Source organism: Homo sapiens, chromosome X (genome assembly GCF_000001405.40).
Source record: "Homo sapiens chromosome X, GRCh38.p14 Primary Assembly".
Classification (NCBI taxonomy): domain Eukaryota; kingdom Metazoa; phylum Chordata; class Mammalia; order Primates; family Hominidae; genus Homo; species Homo sapiens.
Window position 1 is genome coordinate 100,602,244 of NC_000023.11, and position 24,382 is coordinate 100,626,625.

Here is a 24,382-nt window from a genome sequence, read left to right on the forward strand (position 1 = left end):
ACACGGTGAAACCCCGTCTCTACTAAAAATACAAAAAAATTAGCCAGGTGTGGTGGCAGGCGCCTGTAGACCCAGCCACTCAGGAGGCTGAGGCAGGAGAATGGCATGAACCCGGGAGGCGGAGCTTGCACTGAGCCGAGATCGCACCACTGCACTCCAGCCTGGGCGACAGAGCAAGACTCTGTCTCAAAAAAAAAAAAGAAAGAATAATAGTCTCCAATCTCATCCATGTTACTGCAAATGCCATTAATTCGTTCCTTTTTATGACTGAGTAGTATTCCATCATACATATGTGTGTGTATATATATGCGTATATATGTATATATGTGTATATATGTATATGTGTATATGTATGTATATATTATATATGTATGTGTGTATATATATCCGTGTATATATGTGTGTATACGTATGTGTGTCTATATATGTGCATATATATATGTGTGTGTGTGTATGTGTGTGTGTGTGTGTGTATATATATATATATATATATATATATATAAAAAACAGTTTCTTTATCCACTGGTTGATTAATGGGCATTTGGGTTGGTTCCATGATTTTGCAATTGTGAAGTGTGCTGCTATAAATATGCGTGTGCAAGTATCTCTTTCGTATAATGACTTCTTTTCCTCTGGGTAGATACCCAGTAGTGGGATTGCTGGATCAAATAGTAGTTCCACTTTTAGTTCTTTAAGGAATCTCCACACTCTTTTCCATAGTAGCTGTACTAGTTTACTTTCCCACCAGCAGTGTAGAAGTGTTCCCTGATCACCACATCCATGCCAACATCTACTGTTTTTTGATGTTTTGATTACTGCCATACTTGCAGGAGTAAGGTAGTATCGCATTGTGGTTTTGATTTGCATTTCCCTGTAGATCAGCCAATAATTTTAAATTCCTGAGACACTCAAATTTATGCAGTCTATAGTATACTATATATACCATGCTCTATGAGGGATATAAATGAAGTAGAAAATATACTCCCTATTTCCAAAGAAAGATGAGACACCCAAAATACATAAGCCCTAACATAGGAACTTATACACAACTCACTACAGTTGTATATGCTGTGTGCATGTGTGCGTGCGCTCACACACACACAGACACACACTCTAAGAGGTATAGACAATTTCGTATCACATTTTAGGACTCAGAGTTCCTACTCACATTCTTTTAATTCAGGAAGCATTTCTTGCTCAAATGAGATACCTCAACCTCCAAATAATTTCACAGTGGGAAATTGTGATCCTCTTAATGAGCCAGAATGAGTTAAAAAAAAAAAAAAATACAAGGGCATGCTTAAAGAAATATTCAAGGCTGGGCACGGTGGCTCACGCCTGTAATCCCAGCACTTTGGGGGGCCAAGGCAGGCGGATCACAAGGTCAGGAGTTTGAGACCAGCCTGGCCAATATGGTGAAACCCTGTCTCTACTGAAAATACAAAAAGAATTAGCCGGGCGTGGTGGCACATGCCTGTAATCCCAGCTACTCAGGAGGCTGAGGCAGGAGAGTCGCTTTAACCCGGGAGGCGGAGGTTGCAGTGAGCCGAGATGGCGCCACTGCATTCCAGCCCAGGTAACAGAGCAAAAAAAAAAAAAGAAAAAGAAAGAAAGAAGAAGAAGAACAAGAGGAGGAGGAGGAAGGATTCAAATTATCACATGCTTAGAAGAGGGGGTGCGGGGAGAAGGGAACAGCACAGCAAATAAACAAATCCAAACACACTCGTCTGTCACTTCAATTTAGGCCCAGGCTAGGTTGAAAAGGAAAAAGTATAATACCTCTCTCATCACAAATTTTTACCCCTCATGTGAATCCTGTGTAGAGATTCCTTATTTCGTGCCTTACACTTCCCTCACATCGACCCCACTGAGGCTAGAGCTGCCACTCTTCCCTACACCCTTCCCTAAGCCCAGCCTCCTCAAAGAGCAACATCAAAGTAACTCTGACGTCCCAAGCCAGAGACCTTGCAGTAATTATAATGTATCCCTGTCACCCACTCCAGCTCTTTTGTTGCCAAATCTTTTCTCTTCTAAACCTTCCCCACCGGATTATTTCTTAGATCATTTGTTACAACTTCCTCCCTGCTGAAGTTCCCAGGTTGGAGATGGAAACTAACATAAAATGCTTATAGACAAAGTTTGTTTTTCACTCACAGATTTCATTAATGCCATTTCCTTTCCTGAGAGTCTACAATAGCTACTTACTTACTACATTAAGGATCAGGCCTAAGTCGCATTCAAAACATCCTGATTCAAACCACCTTAAACTACCACCTTGTATCTCTTTTCTCCTCCCACTACCCTACCTACCACTCTTGCTTTTCTCAGGCATTTTAGTTTCATGCTCTGTTTGTCCAGTCATCCCATCTCCTTTACAGACTTGTCTCTCACTGATTTGAAGACATTTTTCAAATCCCATTTTCCTCTTGCCCAAACATGGAATCTAAATTCTCTCTACTTCATTCTATGCCTGTATAAATTAATACTGTCGTTCCTTGGTATTTGTGGGGGATTGGCTCCAAGACCTCCATGGATACCAAAGTCCTCGAATGCTCAAGTCCCTGATATAATATGAAGTAGTATTTGTATATAACCTACACACATCCTTATTTATACTTTAAGTCATCTCTAGATTACTATTTATAATACCTAACACAATGTAAATGCTATGCAAATAGTTGTTATATTGTATTTTTTTATTTGTATTATTTCTTATTGTTGTATTATTTTTTGCAGTGGTTTTTCCATATGCTTTTTATCCACGGATATGGAGAGCTGACTGTATATCACTCAATGCACACACTCATTACACATGATTTTAACGTGTTAAGTTCTAAAAGAAAATGGCCCATATCCTCTCCCATTTTGCTCTGTCTAGAACCTGGCACCGTATCTAAAGCATATATGTGGCCTTTAGATGTTGTGTGTGTGTGTGTGTTTTAACTGAGGCCAATGAGAAAGAAGACGGGGAAGAAGACAGAAGAAAAAGAAGAGGCTGTAAAAGAGCACAGTTACAAAGCCCAGTCAGAATATTATTACAAAAAGTTGGCCTTGAGTTCTGTTCAAATTTAGGATACAAGTTCTCATTTTACTTAAATTCATTTTTTTATTCCTCATCTTTTGACACAGTTGAATTCCATAAGTGTAAGGAATTCCTCTAATCCCAGAATGATCAAAAGCATAGATGATTGTCCACAGCTCGATTATTTCCATTATATGAATGCAGACATTTGGCATTTTCATCTCAATTTTCAATGATTCTATGCATAAAAAAGAAAAAATGCCAAAAAGCACATCTGCCATGAAATCACAAGAAATACCATATTACCTTTCAGATTCTTTGGGGATCTAAATTCCAATCAAGAAAAGTCAGGTAAGGCAAAGCCATCCATTGCTCCCACTCAGCATAAGGATACTATGCATTAGTGTGCTCAGCACCTTCCTGCACACCTAAAATGGCTCTTTGGCAGGAATAGGGGCAAGGGAAATCTATTTTGAGTCTTTATATATAAGGCTCACTGTCTGGCTGAGTCCAAAACTGTCACTTTGGCTCCTAGAGTCTAACGCTGAAAGCTTACTGAGATAAATATGGACCTTCTCATTCAGGCTGTCAGGAAATGCGTGGATCTATTTTATTTATACCCTTAAAAATGATTTCATTTTGGCTTTCCTTCTTTGAAGAAGTTTAATTCTGGGGCTTAATTTTGCTGACAGAATGCTGTTCCCTAACAAGAAAGAAAAGTATTTCCATATTAAAAAACAGGTATAAATGTATACACAAAAAATACTGTCCCTGGCATTCCAAAGTCCTGCTCCTAAGTCTCCTCTACTATCTTTAATCAATTTGCATGAAAGCTCCTTACCCAATGACTACATCGATCATTTATTTAGATCAATATTCAGTTCTGGCATTTGTAACCCAATGACTGGATAGTCACTTGTCTACTTACTGTTTTGAGATTGGCATTCCATTGTCTATCTTCTCTTCCATTCTCTTAACTTCACACTCAGGCCTATCGTCCTTGCTAAAGGGGGTTCAGAAAGAGAGAGGCAGAATGAACCAAAGGAAATAGAGCAAGCCACAATAAATTCCTCAACCAAAACAAACTAACAACAACAAAAAAACCCAGCATCTCCATAGTCCTGAGATGACCTCTGCCTGACAGTGATATTAATATATTGTTTATATTTATCCTTCTCTGCTGATGCTATCATTTGCCATTCTGAATGTTCCACTGACAGCAGTAATTCTACTGGTCTTATGGAGATGTTGCTTTCTAAAACACAATTCAGGCTCACACTCATATCAGTCACCAGTGAGCCAAAAGCAAGACACCTGCCAAGGGCAAGGGATTTAGGGTACAGGCCCCAGCCATAGTTGAGCTGCTGAAGTAGAGAGTAAAAAAGCAGCAGTGCGACTATTTAGAAATAAAACACAAGGATTTGAGCTTGTTTATTTTGCAAAGGATCCATGTTGCCTATCAACTCACAAATTCACTGTGTCCACTGAAATTTGTTCTTAAGGATGGGGGTTATCTCTACACAGCAATATTGTTCCAGCCTTGTGTATCTGGTGAGCCACCGTAATGTAAATCTTCCATGTTCCCAATAATAGCTTTCAATGTTTGGGTTATGCTAAATCATATCATGCTGAAATCAGAATGGTTTGTGGTTGACCTTTTCATATTTCCTGTTCCTCCAAACTACTTCTCTTTTTGAGAGTTTCTTCTTACCAGGGCATGTCAATCTAGGGTAACTGTTAAACTAACATGATCAACAAGATATGAAGAACCCAGAAACCTGCTAGAAACTATGGCATGACAGATGGAAAATAGGTTATCCTCTTTGTTGTCTAGGCATTTACAAAATACTTGGCATGATAAAAACTGTGCTTTGTAAACAATTAAGAAAGTGTAAGACAGAATTCTTTTCAGGATTCAGGAGAACAAGAATTCTTCATATGCTCTCAGAGACCAAGAACTTCTGTCCCTCAAAAACCAACAGTGATGGTTTTCTCAGAATCAGCCTATCAGTTATATCAACTCAAAAATCTGCAAAGCCCTGATTTCCCAAAGATATTAGTCTTACTGTTAAAATCAAGTTCAGCTGCATATGAAAGGAAATCCTAAAATGATGTAACTTAAACAAAGTAGAAGTAGATAATCTAGGTTGTCCAGTCAACTGACCCATGTACCTATCTTTCTGTTCTTCTATCCTCAGTATGTAGTTTTCATCCTCAAGGTCACCTCATGGTCAAGGATAACTCTAGTTCTAGCCATCGTGTCTACATTCTAGATTGGCTTCAGAAAGAAGCTGGACACCACAAAAGCACACCCCCTAACTTTTAGGGAGACTTCCACTTACACGTCATAAGCCTGAACTTAGTCATATGGCCAAACATAGCTTCAAAGGAGACTGGTAGCATTCTTTGTTCTGGGTGCATTATCACTTCAAATGAAATCAAGATTCTGTCACTGAGGAAGAAGGCGAGAAGACATGCTGGAGGAGGTAATTGGCAATCTTGGCAACATCTAGTAACTTGTCACAGGATCTAGGATCCCTACTATTAAAAAGTTAATGCCTTTTGTATTAAGTTGCTGTCCCTCAAATTCTCGTTAAATGTAAATATATTACTCGGAAAGTGATAAAACATTAACAAATTAAGGCCCATTCTCATACGATCACAAACCAATCGATGAGATGAACATTTTCTCTGAAGAATGAGAGCATAAATAAAGAGAACTAAAAACCCTACTTGAAAAATAAATAAAGGATAGGTTAAAGGAAAGCATCTAGAGGACTCTGTAAAATCAAGACACTACAGGTCAAAAGGCTAAGGGTGGGGAGGGAGCCAAAACCAATTTTGCTTACATCACAATTTTGCTGCAGACAGACCCCACACTTCTGGGTTGATATAATGGTACGGAGTTGCTACAGTCTGCAGATAATACCCAAAGATATTATATCACAAGGCAAACAATTCCATTTATTATCTTTTGCAAGATTTTTGTTTTTCATTTTTACCAACCAAGAGGGAAAAGTGGTACTAGGAGATGTAGGGCTGGTTGGAAAAAGGAAAGAAAAAAATCTTTCTAATAACTATAGCTCTTGCTCTCGAATCAAAATAGAGCACCATTTTGAAAAAAAGTATGACAGGTTTTTCTTTTCAAAAATCCTCGTTAGTTTTTGGAGTAAGACCTTTGTAAAATGAATATTATTCATCAAAGGGATTTTGATTTGACAGACTTAAATTGACTAGAGAAAGTTCAAGTTCTACATTATGGGGAATCAAAATGTCTCTAGCAGAACAGAGTAAGTTTCATGACACATCATACACTAAGCAGATGTGAGAATCTTAGGCCAGTAAAAACAAGTTCTATTTTACTGTCACCCAGGGAAATTTCCCTTTTCTTTTGAGTAGACAATAATCCACACTTATTTTTCTAAATCTTGATTTTTTGCACTATCAGTGGATCCCATCAGTCATGGCAATGAATATGGCTTTGGAGATAATAAAAGGCTGTAACCAATTTATAGACCAATCCCAAGAGCGTAAACTTTTATATTCAGAGAAACTACAATGACAATTTAGGCCACCAGAGAAAAAATAAAGAAAAAAAATATTAGTTTGAAACTTGTTCACAGTTTTCAGGCCAATGAACACAGACTGATTCCCTACAACACATTCATTCTGAGCACTCAATAAATATTAACCAACATTCCCCAGTGTTTTGACCCAATATTACATTTAGGCATCTTAAGAATGAAGCCCACTTTAAGTACTGAGAGATTGCTTCACAGAAATTTTATTTGTCTTGATATTCGATCAAATTATTTTTATGCTAAACCTTCTTTACCCAGTGTCTACATTTTATTAATCAACTGGTCCTTCACTTTAAGCTTATGAGAAGTTGTACAGAAAACACTGAGAAAAGTTTTCTTTCATTTGAGGGTATTATTATCATGGTCGCAGATATTTTGACTTTGGGGACTTGAGGGAAGGTAAGGGAAAGCTAATCCATGTTTCAGCTTTTCCCCAAAGCCTCCAAACTATTGCCCATCCAGTTTCCTTTTAGATGATAATTAAGCAGTCTGCTGGAGCTGAGAAAAAAACACCTCAAACTGCAGAAAATTGAAATCTATCTTTTATCAGGCATGCAAGTATTTCCCTCCAGGTGTCTAATTCCACATTCCAAAGCACGTTGTTTTCAAAAACAGAGTAATTCAACATCTCACAATTTTTCTTACACATTTCTGTACATTTCACACCCTGTTCCAACGTGTTCAATTGGAGTGCAGGTTACTCATGAAAGAAGTGCTCTATTTCATTTCATGGAGTGACATGTCTAGGAGACCATATTTTTCAGTTATAGAAGTTTTAGATGGGTTTCATTCTATGTCATCTTTGAAAAATGAGTAATCCCACCCCAAGGGTCACATTCCTACCCCACGCAGAAGTAGCCCTTGTCTCTAATTATCCAACCAGAAGGATAAGATTTCCATATCAAAGAGAAAAAAGACCATCACAGACTTCTTTGTTATACAAAGCTTAACATCAATAGACTGACTGTGCTCTCTACTGGTAAAATCAAGAGCTACAACTAGCATCAAAATTTTACTTTATGAAAACCTTATGGAAATAGGAATTCAAAAATTGTTTACTGTGCCCAGAAATAGGATTTCTTGCCAACTGAGTTCAAAAATTACAAGAAAAGATTATTCTTTAGCCTGAGAGCAGAGGCAAGTGTAGTCAGAGCAGCCCCAGGATCAAGGTGAATACAGATTCATATACTAGTACCATTTGATATCATTGTCAATGTGTTACTAGTTGCTTAATGTGTTCTGACCAAACACAATGGTCCAGTGGTTCTCAAATTTTAGTCTGTTATCAGAAGCTCCTGGGTTGCCTGTGAAAAATACACAGACTTAGATCTGAGGTACGGAAATTCTGATTCTGCAGCTTTGGGATGAAGCTCTGGAATTTGCAGTTTATCAATTCCTCCCTCCCCTGGTGATTCTGGTGCAAGTGGCCCAAGGAATACATTTTGAATAACATTGATAGATTTTGCAAAACATAGATTTTGCAAAACACCCTTGTCAGATGTGCCTGAACCACAGGAACTCCATCTTGAATAGGGACTGTGTAAAATAAGGCTAAGACCTGCTGGGGGGCATTCCCAATAAGTTAAGGCATTCTTAGCCACAGGATGAGACAGGTGGTCGGCACAAGATACAGGTCATGAAGACCTTGCTGATAAAACAGTTTGCAGTAAAGAAGCCAGCCAAAACCCACCAACACCAAGATGGCGACGAGCGTGAACTCTGGTCTTCCTCACTGCTACACTCTCACCAGTGCCATGACAGTTTACAAATGCCATGGCAACATCAGGAAGTTACCCTATATGGCCTAAAAGGGGAGACATGAATAATCCACCTCTTGTTTAGCACATAATCATGAAATAACCATAAAAATGGGCAACCAGTAGCCCTTGAGGCTGCTCTGCCTATGGAGTAGCCATTCTTTATTCCTTTACTTTATTAAACTTGCTTTCACTTTTCTCTATGGATTCGTTACAGGAAAGGGGTCCTAATCCAGATCCCAAGGGAAGATTATTGGATCTTGTGCAAGAAAGAATCCAGGCGAGTCTGCAGTGCAAAGTGAAAGCAAGTTTATTGAGAAAGTAAAGGAATAAAAGAATGGCTACTCCATGGACAGAGGAGCCCCAAGGGTGGCTGGTTGCCCATTTTTATGGTTATTTCTTGATGATATGTTAAACAAGGGGTGGATTATTCATGCCTCCCCTTATTAGACCATATAGGATAGATCCTGACATTGCCATGGCATTTGTAAACTGTCGTGGTGCTGGTGGTAGCGTAGCAGTAAGGACGACCAGAGGTCACTCGCGTCGCCATTTTGGTTTTGGTGGGTTTTGGTCGGCTCCTTTACTGCAACCTGTTTTATCAACAAAGTCTTTATGACCTGTATTTTGTGTTGACCTCCTATCTCATCCTGTGACTTAGAATGCTTTAACTGTCTGGGAATGCAGCCCAGTAGGTTTCAGCCTCATTTTACCCAGCTCCTATTCAAGATGGAGTTGCTCTGGTTCACACTCCTCTGACAGACTCGTCTCAAATTATTTATTGTGCGAGATCCAAGAACTCTCTTGGGGTCTAGATCAGGACCCCTTTCCAGTAACACCCTAATAGTGTGGTCAGAATAATTACAAACTAGTATGTCAGCAACACCATCTTCAGAACTATGATCTCTCTGGCGGGACTGGAGGAAAGCCTTTGGTTTCCTTGCTCTCATAGGTGCCAGCTCTCTGCCTCCACCTGTCTTACTGACTCCTGTTTGGTGTTTGAGTGAAGGAAAGTATTTTTAATTAATAGTAATAATAAAAGCTAACACTTACTGAATGCTTACTATTTGCCCAGTACTAAGTGCTTTTCTTATATTAATGTAATCCTTATAGCAATCCTATGAATGAGGTAGAATTATTATTATTCCTATTTTACAGATAAAGAAACGGAGACATTGCCCAAGATTACACACCCTGTTAAGTAGCAGAGCCAAGATATAGAAGGCAAGCAGGTCTGCTCCAGAGCTCATGTACCTAACCATTCTCTATACTAACTATATACATTTCAATGGGAAAATACGAGCCTTCTTTTCTTTGTGATTATATTTTGACTTTACCCACTGAGGTACAAAATTATTGAGTAGAAAAAAGGTTTTAAAATGTAGTCCTTTATCAGTGGCTTACTTGATCAAGTTCCGTTTCCCTGAATAGTGTGTGATCACAGCAATATCCACTATTTCAGAGGCATTCAAACCAGAATAACTCCATCTTGAATAGGGGATGGGTAAAATATGACTGAGACCTACAGGGCTGCATTCTCAGGAGGTTAGGTAGTCTTTGTCACAAGATGAGATAGGAGGTCGGCAGGACTGGTATCCTGCTGATAAAACAGGATGCAGTGAAGAAGCCGGCCAAAACCCACCAAAACCAAGATGGCAACAAAAGTGACCTCTCGTCGTCCTCATTGCTCATTATAAATTAATTATAATGCATTAGCATGCTAAGAGACATTTCCAGCAGCACCATGACCGTTTACAAATGCCATGGCAACGTCCAGAAGTTACCTTATATAGTCTAAAAAGGGCAGGACTCGGTTCAGGAAATTGCTTGCCCTTTCCCTGGAAAACTCATGTATAATCCACCCCTTGTTTAGCATATAATCAAGAAATAACAGTAGGTATAGTCAGTCAAGCAGTTCATGCTGCTGCTCTGTTTATGGAGTAGCCATTCTTTTGTTTCTTTACTTCTCTAATAAACTTGCTTTCACTTTACTCTGTGGACTCGCCCCAAATTCTTTCTTGTGAAAGCTCCGAAAACCCTCTCTTGGGGTCTGGATCAGGACCCCTTTCTGGTAACAGCTACAATGCTTTTATAATGCTTTCTGTGTTCCCTGCAAATTCATTGCCTCACTTAGATTTGGAAACTGACACATTAAGCAACTTTTCTGAAGTCACTAAGGAGTTGATGGCAGCAATGAAAGAACCCAGGGAATTTCACTTTGAAATATGTCACCCTGGTGTGTTGATTATTTTAAATTAAAGGCCCTTGAAGGTCAGTAGATGCTAGAAGAGGCTTTATTCCTTCATCCGAATTAAGACAGGACCGGCAAAAAAGAACATAATTGCCTTCCAGTTCTTCCCTGAAATTTCATTATCTATCCCAGAAAAGAAGACTGAGGAATACAGCCACACCTGGACAGACTTTTTCACAAAATATCTGTTTCTCAGGCTCATTCAAATTCCAAAGAATCATTTACAAGTTAACTTTTGTCTCCCAGGCTCATTCATTCTCCCTAATAATTATTTACTACCCCTCAAAAGAATTGCCTATGTTCCCCATCTCCTCCTCCCTTATAAAGAAGGGTATATACACCTCCGGGCCTCATAGGTTATTGGGTAATCACATTTCGGTGATTTCCCCACCCTCTCATGCATGTTAAAGAAATTCTATATGACCTTTTCTCCCATTAATCTGTCTTTTGTCTGTTCATTTTCTGTGGCCCTTCAGATGGCTTTCCCTCTTCAACCCTACAGCTGTGTAGTAAGACCTCTACTCATCCTCCATGTTGGCCCTCCCCACCCAATCCCTGCATGCTCACCACTCAATCCCTTTACATACTGGCTTGGTTTAAGTAGCATAATATCCATAGCCTAGGAATGGCCATATATGAAAGATATAAAAGAACAAGCTGTGTATTACACAAACTTGTCGTGGCTTTTGGAAACCATGCTAGTGCCCAAAAGACAAACAACATAATTGAAGACGTCAGCCTAGACAAAAGAGGTGTTCTTTTTACGGTTGTCATAATAAATCTCTCTCTCAACTTTACTTGGCATTTAGGTATATTAGGCCTTCAAGTGCAGACCTTTAATTTCTTCCCTGTCTTTTTAAACCTCACATTAAATATCACTATTTTCTTCTCTATATCCCCCTCATAAAATACTGTTAAAGCAACTTGGACACAACAATATCCTTCTCCTGCCCTCTACAAACAATTCATGAGCCCAAAGCATGTGCAGTTATTTCTAGTTGCAACTATGAAAGAAAAAGGTTAGCAGTAGCTAGCTAAAATGTTTGTGAGCAACTGTAAGTTCCAGCCAGGGTTTACCAATGCCCCAGAGCAATTTGCAAGAGGGGGCTGCATTTATATCCTGAGTCATCATGCTAAATCCCAAGGTGTAGAACTTCATCCTTCCATCAATTGCCATGAGTCTTGAGAGTATGAAGTTACCCAAATTCATGAAACAATGGTAATAAAAGGGATTGATTGATACCTTTATCCCCAGACTGGTTTTTACAAACCACTGGAAAAACCATGTTGGTAACAGGGTATGCTCTGTGATGATCCCCACATCTAAAACCGTTTTTTTCTCTCCTCTTGCTGTAGCAAAGCCTCAATTCAAAGCAGTTTTCAAATCATGTGTAAGGTAAATAGATACCCTTATCTTAAGGTAAATAAGTGAATTAATGGAATAAGGCACTATTTTATGAACTATTGAATTAGCAAAAATTAAGAAGATTTTCAGTGTTGGTAAATGTATGTGAAGAAAGACACTTTGATATAGTAGTAAGAGGAGTGTAATTAGTGTAGCTATCTTGAGGGCAATTTGGCAGTATCAGTCAAAATTAGAACTGCATATACTCTTTGACCAGCTGTTCTTCAATTGGGAATCTAATCTAAATATATATACTTTTAATATATAAAAAATATAATTCAAAGGGTATTCGTTGCATTGATTGTGATATGAAAAAAATTGGAAAAAACCTAAATTGCATTGATTATGAAAGAAAAAAAATCTCAGTCTAATAATAGGGCATGGTTAAATAAATTATGTTGTGTCCCTACTCTGGAACACTACATTAGATCTGCATGACCTGGTATTAAAAAAAATGTAAGAGGCATTTTTAAATGAGGAAAAACCAAGGTAAGGAACGGCTTGTATAATAAAATAATAGCTAACCAGGTGAGACTTCTGGAATGGCGCAGTGAGGATCTCCGTAAATCCACTCCTCCATAAAATCAATGAAAATGCTGGGAAAATTATAAAAATCAACTTTATTTTTTTTTTTATTTTTTTTTTTTTTACAAATCTGGAAATTAACCCAAGGTCTAAAGCAATCTGAGGAGCATTTATTCAAGAAAAACCACAGCACCTATGTAAGAAAACTACATTTTTAACTTGGCCTACTCCCATGTTTCTCTCCCCAGCTCCACAGTTCCCTTGAAAACCAGCCAACTCACAGCCAGAGGAGCTGTAAAAACAAAACAAACAAAAAAATCAAAAACAAAAAAAGACAGCAGCTTTACAGCCACTAGAGGGGGCAGACTGGGTTTGGAGCTCCTCAAAAAACTTCTATCCCACAGCATTGTTACTGTTTGACTTGTCGCATACCTCTCTGGGAAAGCCCCATTTATACAGTGCTTTCATATGTGACCTGACTCTGAGCTTGCTCGACAAGAAAAGCCCTATCTTTAGTGCATTTATCAAAAATAATCAGCTGCAATTGTTTAACATCACAACTGCCTGAGGTGATTATACACGTTTGGGCAAGCCAGGGCCTGTCCAAAAACTTAAAAGAAAGATCTAAGGAATGCAATGTTTGTAGTGGGCTTTAAAGAACTTGAGACCAGCCTGGCCAACATGGTAAAACCCTGTCTCTACTAAAAATACAAAAATTGGCCAGGTGTGGTGGTGCACACCCATAATCTCAGCTACTCGGGAGGCTGAGGCAGGAGAATCGCTTGAACCTGGGAGGCGGAGGTTGCAGTGAGCCAAGATCATGCCACTGCACTCCAGTCTGGGTGACAGAGCAAAATTCTGTCTCACACACACAAAAAAAAGGGTTTAAAAGATGCAAACAGAAATTACAGAAATTATGGAGTTGCAAAATACAGTAATTGCAATGAAAGATTCACTAAAATTGTTCAATAGCAGATTTGAGCTGGCAGAGAAAAAGAATCAGAGAACCCAAACATAGGTTAATTTAGGTAATTCAGTCTGAGTAATAGAAAGCAAAAAGAACGGTGCTTTGGAGACCTGTAGTATACCATCAAGCATACCAATAGACATACAATGTAAGTCCCAGAAGGAGAAGAGGGAGACGTAAACAAATAGAAAGAATACTTGAAGAAATAACAGCCAGAAATTTCCCAAATTTTATGAAAAACTTTGCTCCTCATAGCTAAAAGTGCAACAAACTTCAAGTAGGGTCAACACAAGGATATCTACATCCAGTCACATCATAGTCAAACTGTTGAAAGACAAAGACTCTTTAAAGCAGCAAGAGAAAAGCAATTCGTCTCTCAGTGAGATTAATAGTGGACTTCTCATCAAAAAGGACAGAATGCCTTCTTGCCTTCATGGAAGACGGAATGCATTGGGATGGCATCCTCAAAGTGCTGAAAGGAAAAAATTGTCAACTAAAAATTCTGTATTTGGCAAAACTATCCTTCAAAACTGAAAGAGAATTAACACATTTCCAGATGAACAAAAACTGAAAGAATTTTTCACTAGCAGATCTGACCTACAAGAAATACTAAAATAAGTCCTTCAGTCTAAAATGAAAGAACTACACAGTAATTCAAATCCACACAAAGAAATAAATAGTACCGGTAAAGGCATATACGTAGGTAAACATAAAAGACAGTATAAATGTAGTTTGATAACTTTTGTCTCCTCCTACCTTATTTAAAATATAATTGCATAAAGAAATAGTTGTAAAATTGTGTTGATAGACTAATAATATAAAATATATAATTTCTATGACAATAACAGCCCCAAAAAACAGATGGAATGGAGCTATATTGGAAAATGATTCCATATACTATTAAAATTACATTTCTATTAATCTGAACTAGATTGGTTTGCTGTTGTTGTTGTTGTTGTTATTGTTGTTGTTGAGACGGAGTCTTGCTCTGTCGCCAGGCTGGAGTGCAGTGGCGCGATCTCGGCTCACTGCAACCTCCACCTCCCGGGTTCAAGCGATTCTCCCTGCCTCAGCTTCCCAAGTAGCTGGGATTACAGGCGCCCGCCACCAAGCCCAGCTAATTTTTGTATTTTCAGCAGAGACGGGGTTTTGCCATGTTGGCCCGGCTGGTCTTGAACTCCTGACCTCAGGTGATCTGCCCACCTCGACCTCCCAAAGTGCTGGGATTACAGGCGTGAGCCACCGCCCAGCCTAGATTGTTTTAAGATAATAATTGTAATCCCCAGAGCAACCACTAAGAAAATAACACAAGGGATATATGGTAACAGAAATGACAAATTAATTAAAATAGGGCATTAGAATAGGCCTACATGTCACAAAGTAAGGAAGTAATGGAAAAACAGAGGTACAAAAATGATATGACATACAGAAAACAAATAGAAAAATGGCAGATGCCAGTCCTTTCTTTAAAATCAGTAATTACATTACATTTAAATGGAGTAAACTCTCCAATAAAATGTAGAAATTGACATAGTGGATAAAACAAACACAATTCAACTATATACTGTCTATGAAAAAACTACTTTAAATTTCATATGGAACCAGAAAAGAGCCCGTATAGCCAAGACAATCCTAAGCAAAATGAACAAATCTGGAGGCATCACACTACCTGACTTCAAGCTATACTACTAGGCTACAGTAACCAAAACAGCATAGTGCTGGTATAAAAACAGACACACAGACCAATGGAACAGAATAGAGATCTCAGAAATAAAACCAAGATGAATTAAAGACTTAAATGTAAAACCCATAATTATAAAAGCCCTAGGAGAAAATCTAGGCAATACCATTGAGGACATAGGCACAGGCAAAGATTTATTGATGAAAATGCAAAAAGCAATTACAACCAAAGCAAAAATTGAAACACGGGATCTAATTAAACTAAAGAGCTTCTGCACAGCAAAGGAAACTATCATCAGAGTAAACTGACAACCTACAGAATGGGAGAACATTTTTGCAATCTATTCATCTGACAAACATCTAATATCCAGTATCTACAAGGAATTTAAACAAATTTACAAGAGAAAAACAAACAAACCCATTAAAAAGTGGGCAAAGGACATGAACAGACACTTCTCAAAAGAAGACATACATGAGGTCAACAAACACATAAAAAAAAAAGCTCAACATCACCAATCATTAGAGAAATGCGAATCAAAACCAATCAAAACCACAATGAGATACCATCTCACACTCGTCAGAATGGCGATTATTACAAAGTAAAAAAACAACAGAGGCTGGTGAAGCTGCAGAGAAAAAGGAATGTTTTTATGCTGTTGGTGGGAGTATGAATTAGTTCAACCATTGTGGAAGACAGTGTGGTGATTCCTCAAAGACATACAGAAAGAAATACAATTTGACCCAGCAATGTCATCACTGGGTATATACCCAAAGGAATATAAATCATTCTATTATAAAGATACATGCATGCATATGTTCATTGCAGCACTATTCACAATAGCAAAGATATGGAATCAACCTAAATGACCATCAATGATAGACTAGATAAAGAAAATGTGGTACATATACACCATGGAATACTATGCAGCCATAAAAAAATAACAAGATCAGCCAGGCGCAGTGGCTCATGCCTGTAATCCCAGCACTTTGGGAGGCTGAGGTGGACAGATCACGAGGTCAGGAGATGGAGACCATCCTGGCCAACATGGTGAAACCCCGTCTCTACTAAAAATACAAAAATTAGTCCGGTGTGGTGGTGTGCACCTGTAGTCCCGGACACTCGGGAGGCTGAGGCAAGAGAATCGTTTGAACCTCGGAGGCAGAAGTTGCAGTAAGCCGAGATCGCACCACTGCACTCCAGTCTGGCAACAGAGTGAGACTTTGTCTCAAAATAATGATGATGATAATAATAATAACAATAATAATAATAATAATAATAATAATAATGAGATCATGTCCTCTGCAGGGACATGGATGGAGCTGGAAGCCATTATCCTCAACAAACTAACGTGGGAACAGAAAAACAAACACTGCATGTTCTCACTTATAAGTGAGAGCTAAACAATGAGAACACATTGACACATTGGGGGAAACAACACACTGGGGCTTGTCGGGGGGTTGGGGGAGGGAGGGAGAACATCAGGAAGAACAGTTAATGCATGCTGGGCTTAATACCTAGGTGATGGGATAATCTGTGCAGCAAATCACCATGGCACCCGTTTACCTATGTAACAAACCTGTACATCCTGCACAGGTACCTCGGAACTTAAAATAAAATCGAGGGGAAAAAAAGAAAGCATTCTTATTGTCAATTATGAAATCGTCAAATATATCAAATATAAATTATATTTTTCAGATGAATGTCAAACAGAACATGTAACATGTATAATGTAAAAAGGGTATATGAGGAAAATGAATAAGTACCACTTTTAATAAATATACTGATTTTAAAAATAGTGTGAGACTAATTACCTTAGAAAACAGAAAAACAATAAAAATCAACAAAATCCAAGTTGACTTTCTGAAAGGATCAACAAAAGTAATAAACCTTTAGCTAGACTGACCAAGAAACAAAGATTCAAATTGCTAAAACTATAAATGAAAGAGCAGGCATCACTACCAACTTTAGAGAAATAAAAACATTATAAAGGAATACTATCGACAATTGCATGGAATCGAATTAGATAATCTACATGAAATGAACAAATTACTAGAATAACTCACAAACTACCAAAAGTAATTCAAAAAGAAATACAAAATCTGTATAGCTTTATGACAAGTGATTGAATTGGGAATCAATAAACTTTCCACAAAGAAAAACACAGGCTCAGATGGCTTCACTGGTTAATGCTATCAAAAGTTTAAACAGGAATTAATACAAATCCTTCATAAACTCTTCGGAAACTGGAATGTGAGAAAACACTTCACAACTCATTCTATGAGGCAAATATTACCCTGAAGCCAAATTAAAACAAAGACATAATGAGAAAGCTACAGACCAATATCCCTTATAAACATATGCACAAAAACCCTCAACAAAATATCAGCAAGCCAAACCCAGCAACATAAAGAAAAATTTATACATCATAACCAGTTGGGATTTATTCTGGGAATGCAAGGTTGGGTCAACATATGAAAATCAGTCAACATAAACCTAAAATGATCAATTAAAATATTTTAAAAGACAAAAACCACATCATCATTTCAGTAGACACAGAAAAAGCTTTTGACAATGTACAATATCTTTTTATGATAAAAATGTTCAACAAACTAGGAATAAAAGGGAACTTCCTAAACCTGATAAAATGTATTTACACGGTGGCTCACGCCTGTAATCCCAGCACTTTGGGAGGCCGAGGCGGGCTGATCACAAGGTCAGGAGATACAGACCATCCTGGCTAACACGGTGAAACCCCGTCTCTACTAAAAATATAAAAAATTAGCCGGGCGTGGTGGCGGGCGCCTGTAGTCCCAGCTACTCGGGAGGCTAAGGCAGAAGAATGGCGTGAACCCGGGAGGCGGAGCTTGCAGTGAGCCGAGATCGCGCCACTGCACTCCAGCCTGGGCGACAGAGCGAGACTCCGTCTCAAAAAAAAAAAAAAAAAAAAAAAAAAAAAAAAGTATTTACAAAAAAACCCACAGCTAAAATCAGACTTAAATGTAAAAAACTGAAAACTTACCCCTAAAATCAAGAACAAGACAAGAATATCTGTGCTCACCATTTTTATTGAACATTGTACTGGAGGTTCTATCAGGAGAATTAAGCCAGAAAAAGACATATAAATCATCCAGATTGAAAAGGTAGAAGTACAATAACTCTATTTGTATATGACATAATCTTGTATATTGAAAATCCTAAGGAATCCACAAAACAAAACAAAAACTATTAGAAGTGCACCAAGGCCACAGGATATATGATCAGTGCATGAAAAACATTATATTAGAGCTTCATCTCACACCATACAGGAAAATTTATTCTGAATTTTTCGTAGACTTAAATGTAAGAGCTAAAAACAATAAGATTTTTAGAAGAAAACATAGGATAAAATCTATAAGACCTTAGGTTAGGTAAAGGTTTCTTAGATATGACACCAAAAGCACAATCCATCAAAGAAAAAAATTGATAAATTCAGCCTTAGGAAAATTCAAAACTTCCACACTTCGAAATGACGCTATTAAGAGAACAAAAAGACAAGCAACAGACTGGAAGAAAATATTTGCAAAACACATATGCAATAAAGGATTTCTATTTAGAATACAGAAAGAACTCTTGCAATTTAATAAGCAGACAACCCAATTTTAAAATGGACAAAAGCTACGAGCATACTTTTCATCAAAGAAGATCTACGAATGGTTAATAAGCACATGACAACATGCTCAACATCGGTCATTAGGAAAATGCAAATTAAAACCACAATTAATACCATTTTGTACCCGATAGAACGAGAATGAAAAGTAAAACAAACAACAACAAATGTTAGTGAGAAGGTGCAAGAATGGAAACCCTCATGAAATGCTGATAGGACTGTAAAATGGTACAGCCACTTTGAAAGCAGTTTGGCAGTTCCTCAAAATGTTAAACATATAACTTCCATACAACCCAGCAATTTCATTCCTAGATATCTATCCAAGAAAAATTAAAACATATGACTACACAAAGACTTGCATGGAAATGTTCACAGGAGCATTATTCGTAGTAGCCATATATTGGAAACAATCTGAATGTCTATCAACTGACAAATGGACAAAGTGCGATATAACAGAATAGTACTCAGCAATAAAAATCACAGACTACTAACACATGCTATGTCATGGATGAACCTCACAAACATTTTGTAAAGTGAAAGAAGCCAGGCAAAAGAAACCACGTATTGTATGATTCCATTTACATGAAATTTCTATAAAAGACAAATATTTGGAAATGGAAAGTAAACTAATGCTTGCCTAGGGTTGGGGGTGTGAACAGAGATAAACTGTAAATGAGCAAGAGGGATGTTTATTAGGAGAGTGAAAATGTTGTAAAACTCATTTATGGTGATGATTGTACCACTCACTAAAATCACTGAATTGCACACTTAAAAGGGGTGAGTTCTCGAGACCTTCCTGGCTAACACGGTGAAACCCCGTCTCTACTAAAAATACAAAAAATTAGCCGGGCGAGGTGGCGGGCGCCTGTAGTCCCGGCTACTCGGGAGGCTGAGGCAGGAGAATGGCGTGAACCCCGGGGGCGGAGCCTGCAGTGTGCCGAGATCGCGCCACTGCACTCCCAGCCTGGGCGACAGAGCGAGACTCCATCACAAAAAAAAAAAAAGGGGGGGTGTGAATTCGGCTGGACACAGTGGCTCATACCTGTAATCCCTGCACTTTGAGAGGCCAAGGTGGGCAGATCCCTTGAGCCCATGAGTTCGAGACCAGCCTGGGCAACATGGCGAAACCCCGTGTCTACAAAAAATACAAAATATTAGCCGGGCATGGTGTCACGTGCCTGTAGTCCCAGCTACTGGAGGGGTGAGGTGGGAGGATCACCTGAGCCTTGGAGGTCGAGGCTGCAGTGAGCCGTGATCGCACCACTGCACTCCAGCCTGGGTGATAGAGTACGACTCTGTCTCAAAAAAAAAAAAAAAAAAAAAAAAAAAGAGCTGAATTTTATGATATGTAAAATATATCTCAATAAAGACCCTTTAAATATTAGACTGACACATAACGCTGTTTTAAGTGTCTGGCATATAAGCAACTCATTTAATCCTTATAACAGCCCTATGAAGCAAGTAATATTATTTATCTTTTCATAAATGAGGAAACTGAGGCACAGATAGATTAGGTGACTTGCCAAAGAGCTCACAACCAGTAATTGGTAAAGAAGGAACTCCAACCTAGCCAGTCTGGCTCTAGAGTCTGTGATCTTAACCATGGCTTCCATTTGTGGGAAGAAAAATTTGTACAGATACACATGTATATGGCAATGTGTGGAAGGAATCATAAGGCACTTTAATCAGTGATCCTCTCTGGGCAGTGGGAGTGAGGGTGGGCAGCAAAGCAAGACTTTCACTTATTACTTTATACTTCTTTGAATTCTGAATTTTTTATACATTTTCTAATAACTCATGTATTCATTTTGTAGATAAGAAACTTCTACTTTTAAATCAAAACATTGGTTATCTTTGATTTGTTACATTATACACCTTTAATTTCCCTGAACATTTTTACATTTTCCATGTTCTTTGGGATATGTGTGTCTTCGGGCCAAGTTCTCAAATAATTACCATGACATGTTTTCTGCTACATTTTGTCTTGCCAGTGTCAGAGTCCCAAGATGGGGCTGAGGCCAAGAAGGGTTGGGTAGGAGGCTACGGAAAACTTCATGAAAGAAGGGCCTGTATTGCTCGCTCTGCTTGGGCAAGACTGTGATTGGGCTGGATTCAAGGCTGTCCTGAGCTGCAGTGTGCAGCTCTGAACTCCCTGGATCCCCTGGGGCACTCTAAGGGGGGCTGGCTGCTTCAGAAATTGCTTCTATTCTGTAGGGGAATAGATTATCTGCATGCATGTGCACATGTGCGAACAAACCCATTTAATGAAAGCAGGAGTTTGGACTTGTGCCTGAAGAGTAGGAGTGATTCTGCCCTGATGTGTGAGTGTGTAGCATGGGTGTTTTTGTTCTTGTTTGTTTCACTTAATATTTAAAGATACTCAAATGGGACTATGTTATGAAAGCAACTAAGTGTTGTGGAGTGTCTTTACTAACATAGGAAATAATAGTTTGTAAACTTTAGGAAGCATTAGACTGTTGAGATGCTTAAAAGAAAATGGAAAGAGTTGATGTTTAGACTGCGATTAACTCTCTTTGTAATCATTCCCTTGGTTCGATGATGTTGTGGAGCTGAGGAATAATAACAAGGTTGGTTGGTTTGTTTTTAATATGTACTTACTGTATACTAACACCCTACAAAGGGCATATTGTGAGAGAATAGGATATTCTTTTTTTATTATTATACTTTAAGTTCTAGGGTACATGTGCACAATGTGCAGGTTTGTTACATATGTATACATGTGCCATGTTGGTGTGCTGCACCCGTTAACTCGTCGTTTACATTAGGTATATCTCCTAATGCTCTCCCTCCCCCTTCCCCACACCCCACAACAGGCCCCGGTGTGTGATGTTCCCCACCCTGTGTCCAAGTGTTCTCATTGTTCAATTCCCACCTATGAGTGAGAACATGAGGGTTTGGTTTTCTGTCCTTGTGATAGTTTGCTGGGAATGATGGTTTCCAGCTTCATCCATGTCCCTAAAAGGACATGAACGCATCCTTTTTTATGGCTGCATATTATTCCATGGTGTATTTGTGCCACATTTTCTGAATCCAGTCCATCATTGTTGGACATTTGAGTTGGTTCCAAGTCTTTGCTATTGTTTATAGTGCCGCAATAAACATACATGTGCATGTGTCTTTATAGCAGCATGATTTATAATCCTTTGGGTATACACCCAGTAATGGGATGGCTGGGTCAAACGGTATTTCCAGTTCTAGATCCTTGAGGAATCGCCATACTGTCTTCCACAATGGTTGAACTAGTTTACAGTCCCACCAACAGTGTAAAAGCGTTCCTGAGAATAGGATATTATTTCATGAAGGTTTTCTCTTTGAAGATTTCATATTCAATAAGGACTGATTAAAAGATATTTGGACAGGTCGGGCGCAGTGGTTCACACCTGTAATCCCAGCACTTTGGGAGGCTGAGGTGGTCAGGAGTAAGAGACCAGCCTGACCAACATGGTGAAACCCCCGTCGCTACTAAAAATACAATAAATTAGCTGGGCGTGGTGGCATGCGCCTGTAATCCCAGCTACTCAGGAGGCTGAGGCAGGCAGAATTGCTTGAACCCGGGAGGCGGAGGTTGCAGTGAGCCAACATCGCACTACTGCACTCCAGCCTGGGCGACAGAGAGAGACTCTGTCACACACACATGCGCGCACACACACACACACACACACACAAAGAAAAAAAAAGAAACTGAAGGGGGGAAATAGTCTTTTCAAATGGCCTATCTTCTCTTATATGCCACTTTTTTTTTTTCAGACGGTGTTTTGCTCTTGTTGCCCAGCCTAGAGGTGCAATGGCGTGATCTCGGCTCACCACAACCTCTGACTCCCGGGTTCAAGCAATTCTCCTGCCTCAGCCTCCCAAGTAGCTGGGATTACAGGCACGCACCACCACGCTCCGCTTATTTTGTATTTTTAGTAGAGACGGGGTTTCTCCATGTTGGTCAGGCTACTCTCGAACTCCCGACCTCAGATGATCTGCCTGCCTTGGCCTCTCAAAGTGCTGGGATTACAGGCGTGAGCCACCGCACCTGCCCTTATCTGCCACTTTCCTGCTGAGGAAGTACATGGCCTTTCTGGACAGGAAAATGTGTCCAGAATCTCTTACGCTGTACCCTAGGTTGCCCTGTGTACATAATGTAGCTACTTTACCTTTCTAGTTATGATTCTGAGTAATTGTCTACCCTGCTATATATGCTGTATATAGCCATTGGTGAATTGTCTATATCCAGGCAAGTGCCACGTCAGTTTGATTTGCTTTGTGGACATTGCTAATAGGTTTGTGTTTTCCCAGAAAAAAAGTGGTGAGAAACTGGCTGGAAGAAACAAGAGCCTTACCAACTCACCACTTCATTTTTTTTAATGAAAATTTTGAGGATATGGTAATGAGAACACCATCAGATGAAGCATGACAATCCCAAAGAACTGATGTGCACTTGATAAATGCTTGTGGTTAGAACAGCTGACCCATTTTCCCCAGTTTCCATAAGCCATGTCATCCCTGATTAAAGAGCCAGGTAGGTCAATGTCAAATAAGTACTTACTCTTCCATTTGCTAGATGTTATAGGAGGAATATTTAAAAATTTTTAAGTGTTCAGAATGCTACTAAACTTTTAGGTATTGGAGAGGGGTAGGAATATAAGCAAGCTGCTATGACCAACACACAACTAAAGTGCATGTCCCAAGAATAAAAGGTTAGGCCTGATGATCATGTACTTTAATTCCTCAAGGTAAGGTCGGCATAATCTAAGAGCAAAAAACCAAATACAAGCCCTTGGGGTCAGCCACACTTGAAAAGGAGGAGGAAATTCAAACAACAAAGTAAACTAGAAAGAGCAGTAAAAGGGAAGAAAATCAGGATGTTACACAGTCAAAACAAAAAAAGAAAAATATTTTTAGTGGTACCAAATGCAACAAAGACTTCAAGAAAGAGAAGCAGCAAAAAGCGATTTGACCAGGAGGAAGTTAGCTGTGGTTTCCGAGGTTAAGTGGTTTCTGACTGGGCAGGTGGTTTCTATTATATAAATGGTGGCTTACATAGAATGAGATGTTGAGATCATCTTATTTCACACAGAACATTAAAGGACCATTATAATTAGACTCACTCATTCATTCATTTATTCCATTAGCATTTACTGTGTTCTTACAAGTGCCTGATGCTACTAAGCTCCATGGGGTCAGGGTACCTAATAGAAAAACCATAATTAAATCATAATGGCTTCTCTCTCACAAGCAATCCGGGTGAAGTTTTAAAGCGATGACTTAAAAATGAAAGTCTTATTTCCCTATAGCTGTTTCAGTTTATATATTCATTTCTGACACATTAGCCTTTTGTTTTCCTTTTTAAATTAGTAAGGTTTGGTTTGCCGCATCACAAAGTTTCAACCTAGAAAAGTAGCAAACTTAAAAAAAAATCAAATCTCAAATTATCTTATATATGCTGTGAGGAAAAGTAGAAATGGCATTAATATCTTAGGTTAATTTTTTTCCCTGCAAACACAAACAAAAACCCTCACAGAATAGTCCAAAGGAACC

The 24,382-nt window shown here is 38.8% G+C and overlaps 1 long non-coding RNA gene across 2 annotated transcripts, besides 1 other annotated feature; it reads right to left on the bottom strand.

Moving 5' to 3' along the window:
• Window positions 1-2,726: 2,726 nt before the first annotated feature.
• On the bottom strand, window positions 2,727-19,913 carry LOC105373298 (uncharacterized). 2 transcript variants are annotated; one of them, XR_938469.2, is made up of 3 exons: window positions 19,878-19,913; window positions 3,951-4,025; window positions 2,727-3,260 (listed from the first exon to the last, which is right to left on the bottom strand). It is a non-coding gene; the product is annotated as an uncharacterized LOC105373298 (long non-coding RNA). The 2 variants fall into 2 exon arrangements; XR_938470.2 differs by lacking the exon at window positions 19,878-19,913 and adding an exon at window positions 5,365-5,898.
• Window positions 12,794-12,923: a silencer, noted in NCBI's record as "silent region_20914". NCBI's record gives its function as "represses an Ori minimal core promoter by ATAC-STARR-seq in GM12878 lymphoblastoid cells {active_cell/tissue: GM12878}" and the evidence as "EXISTENCE:reporter gene assay evidence [ECO:0000049][PMID:35858748]".
• Window positions 19,914-24,382: the final 4,469 nt, after the last annotated feature.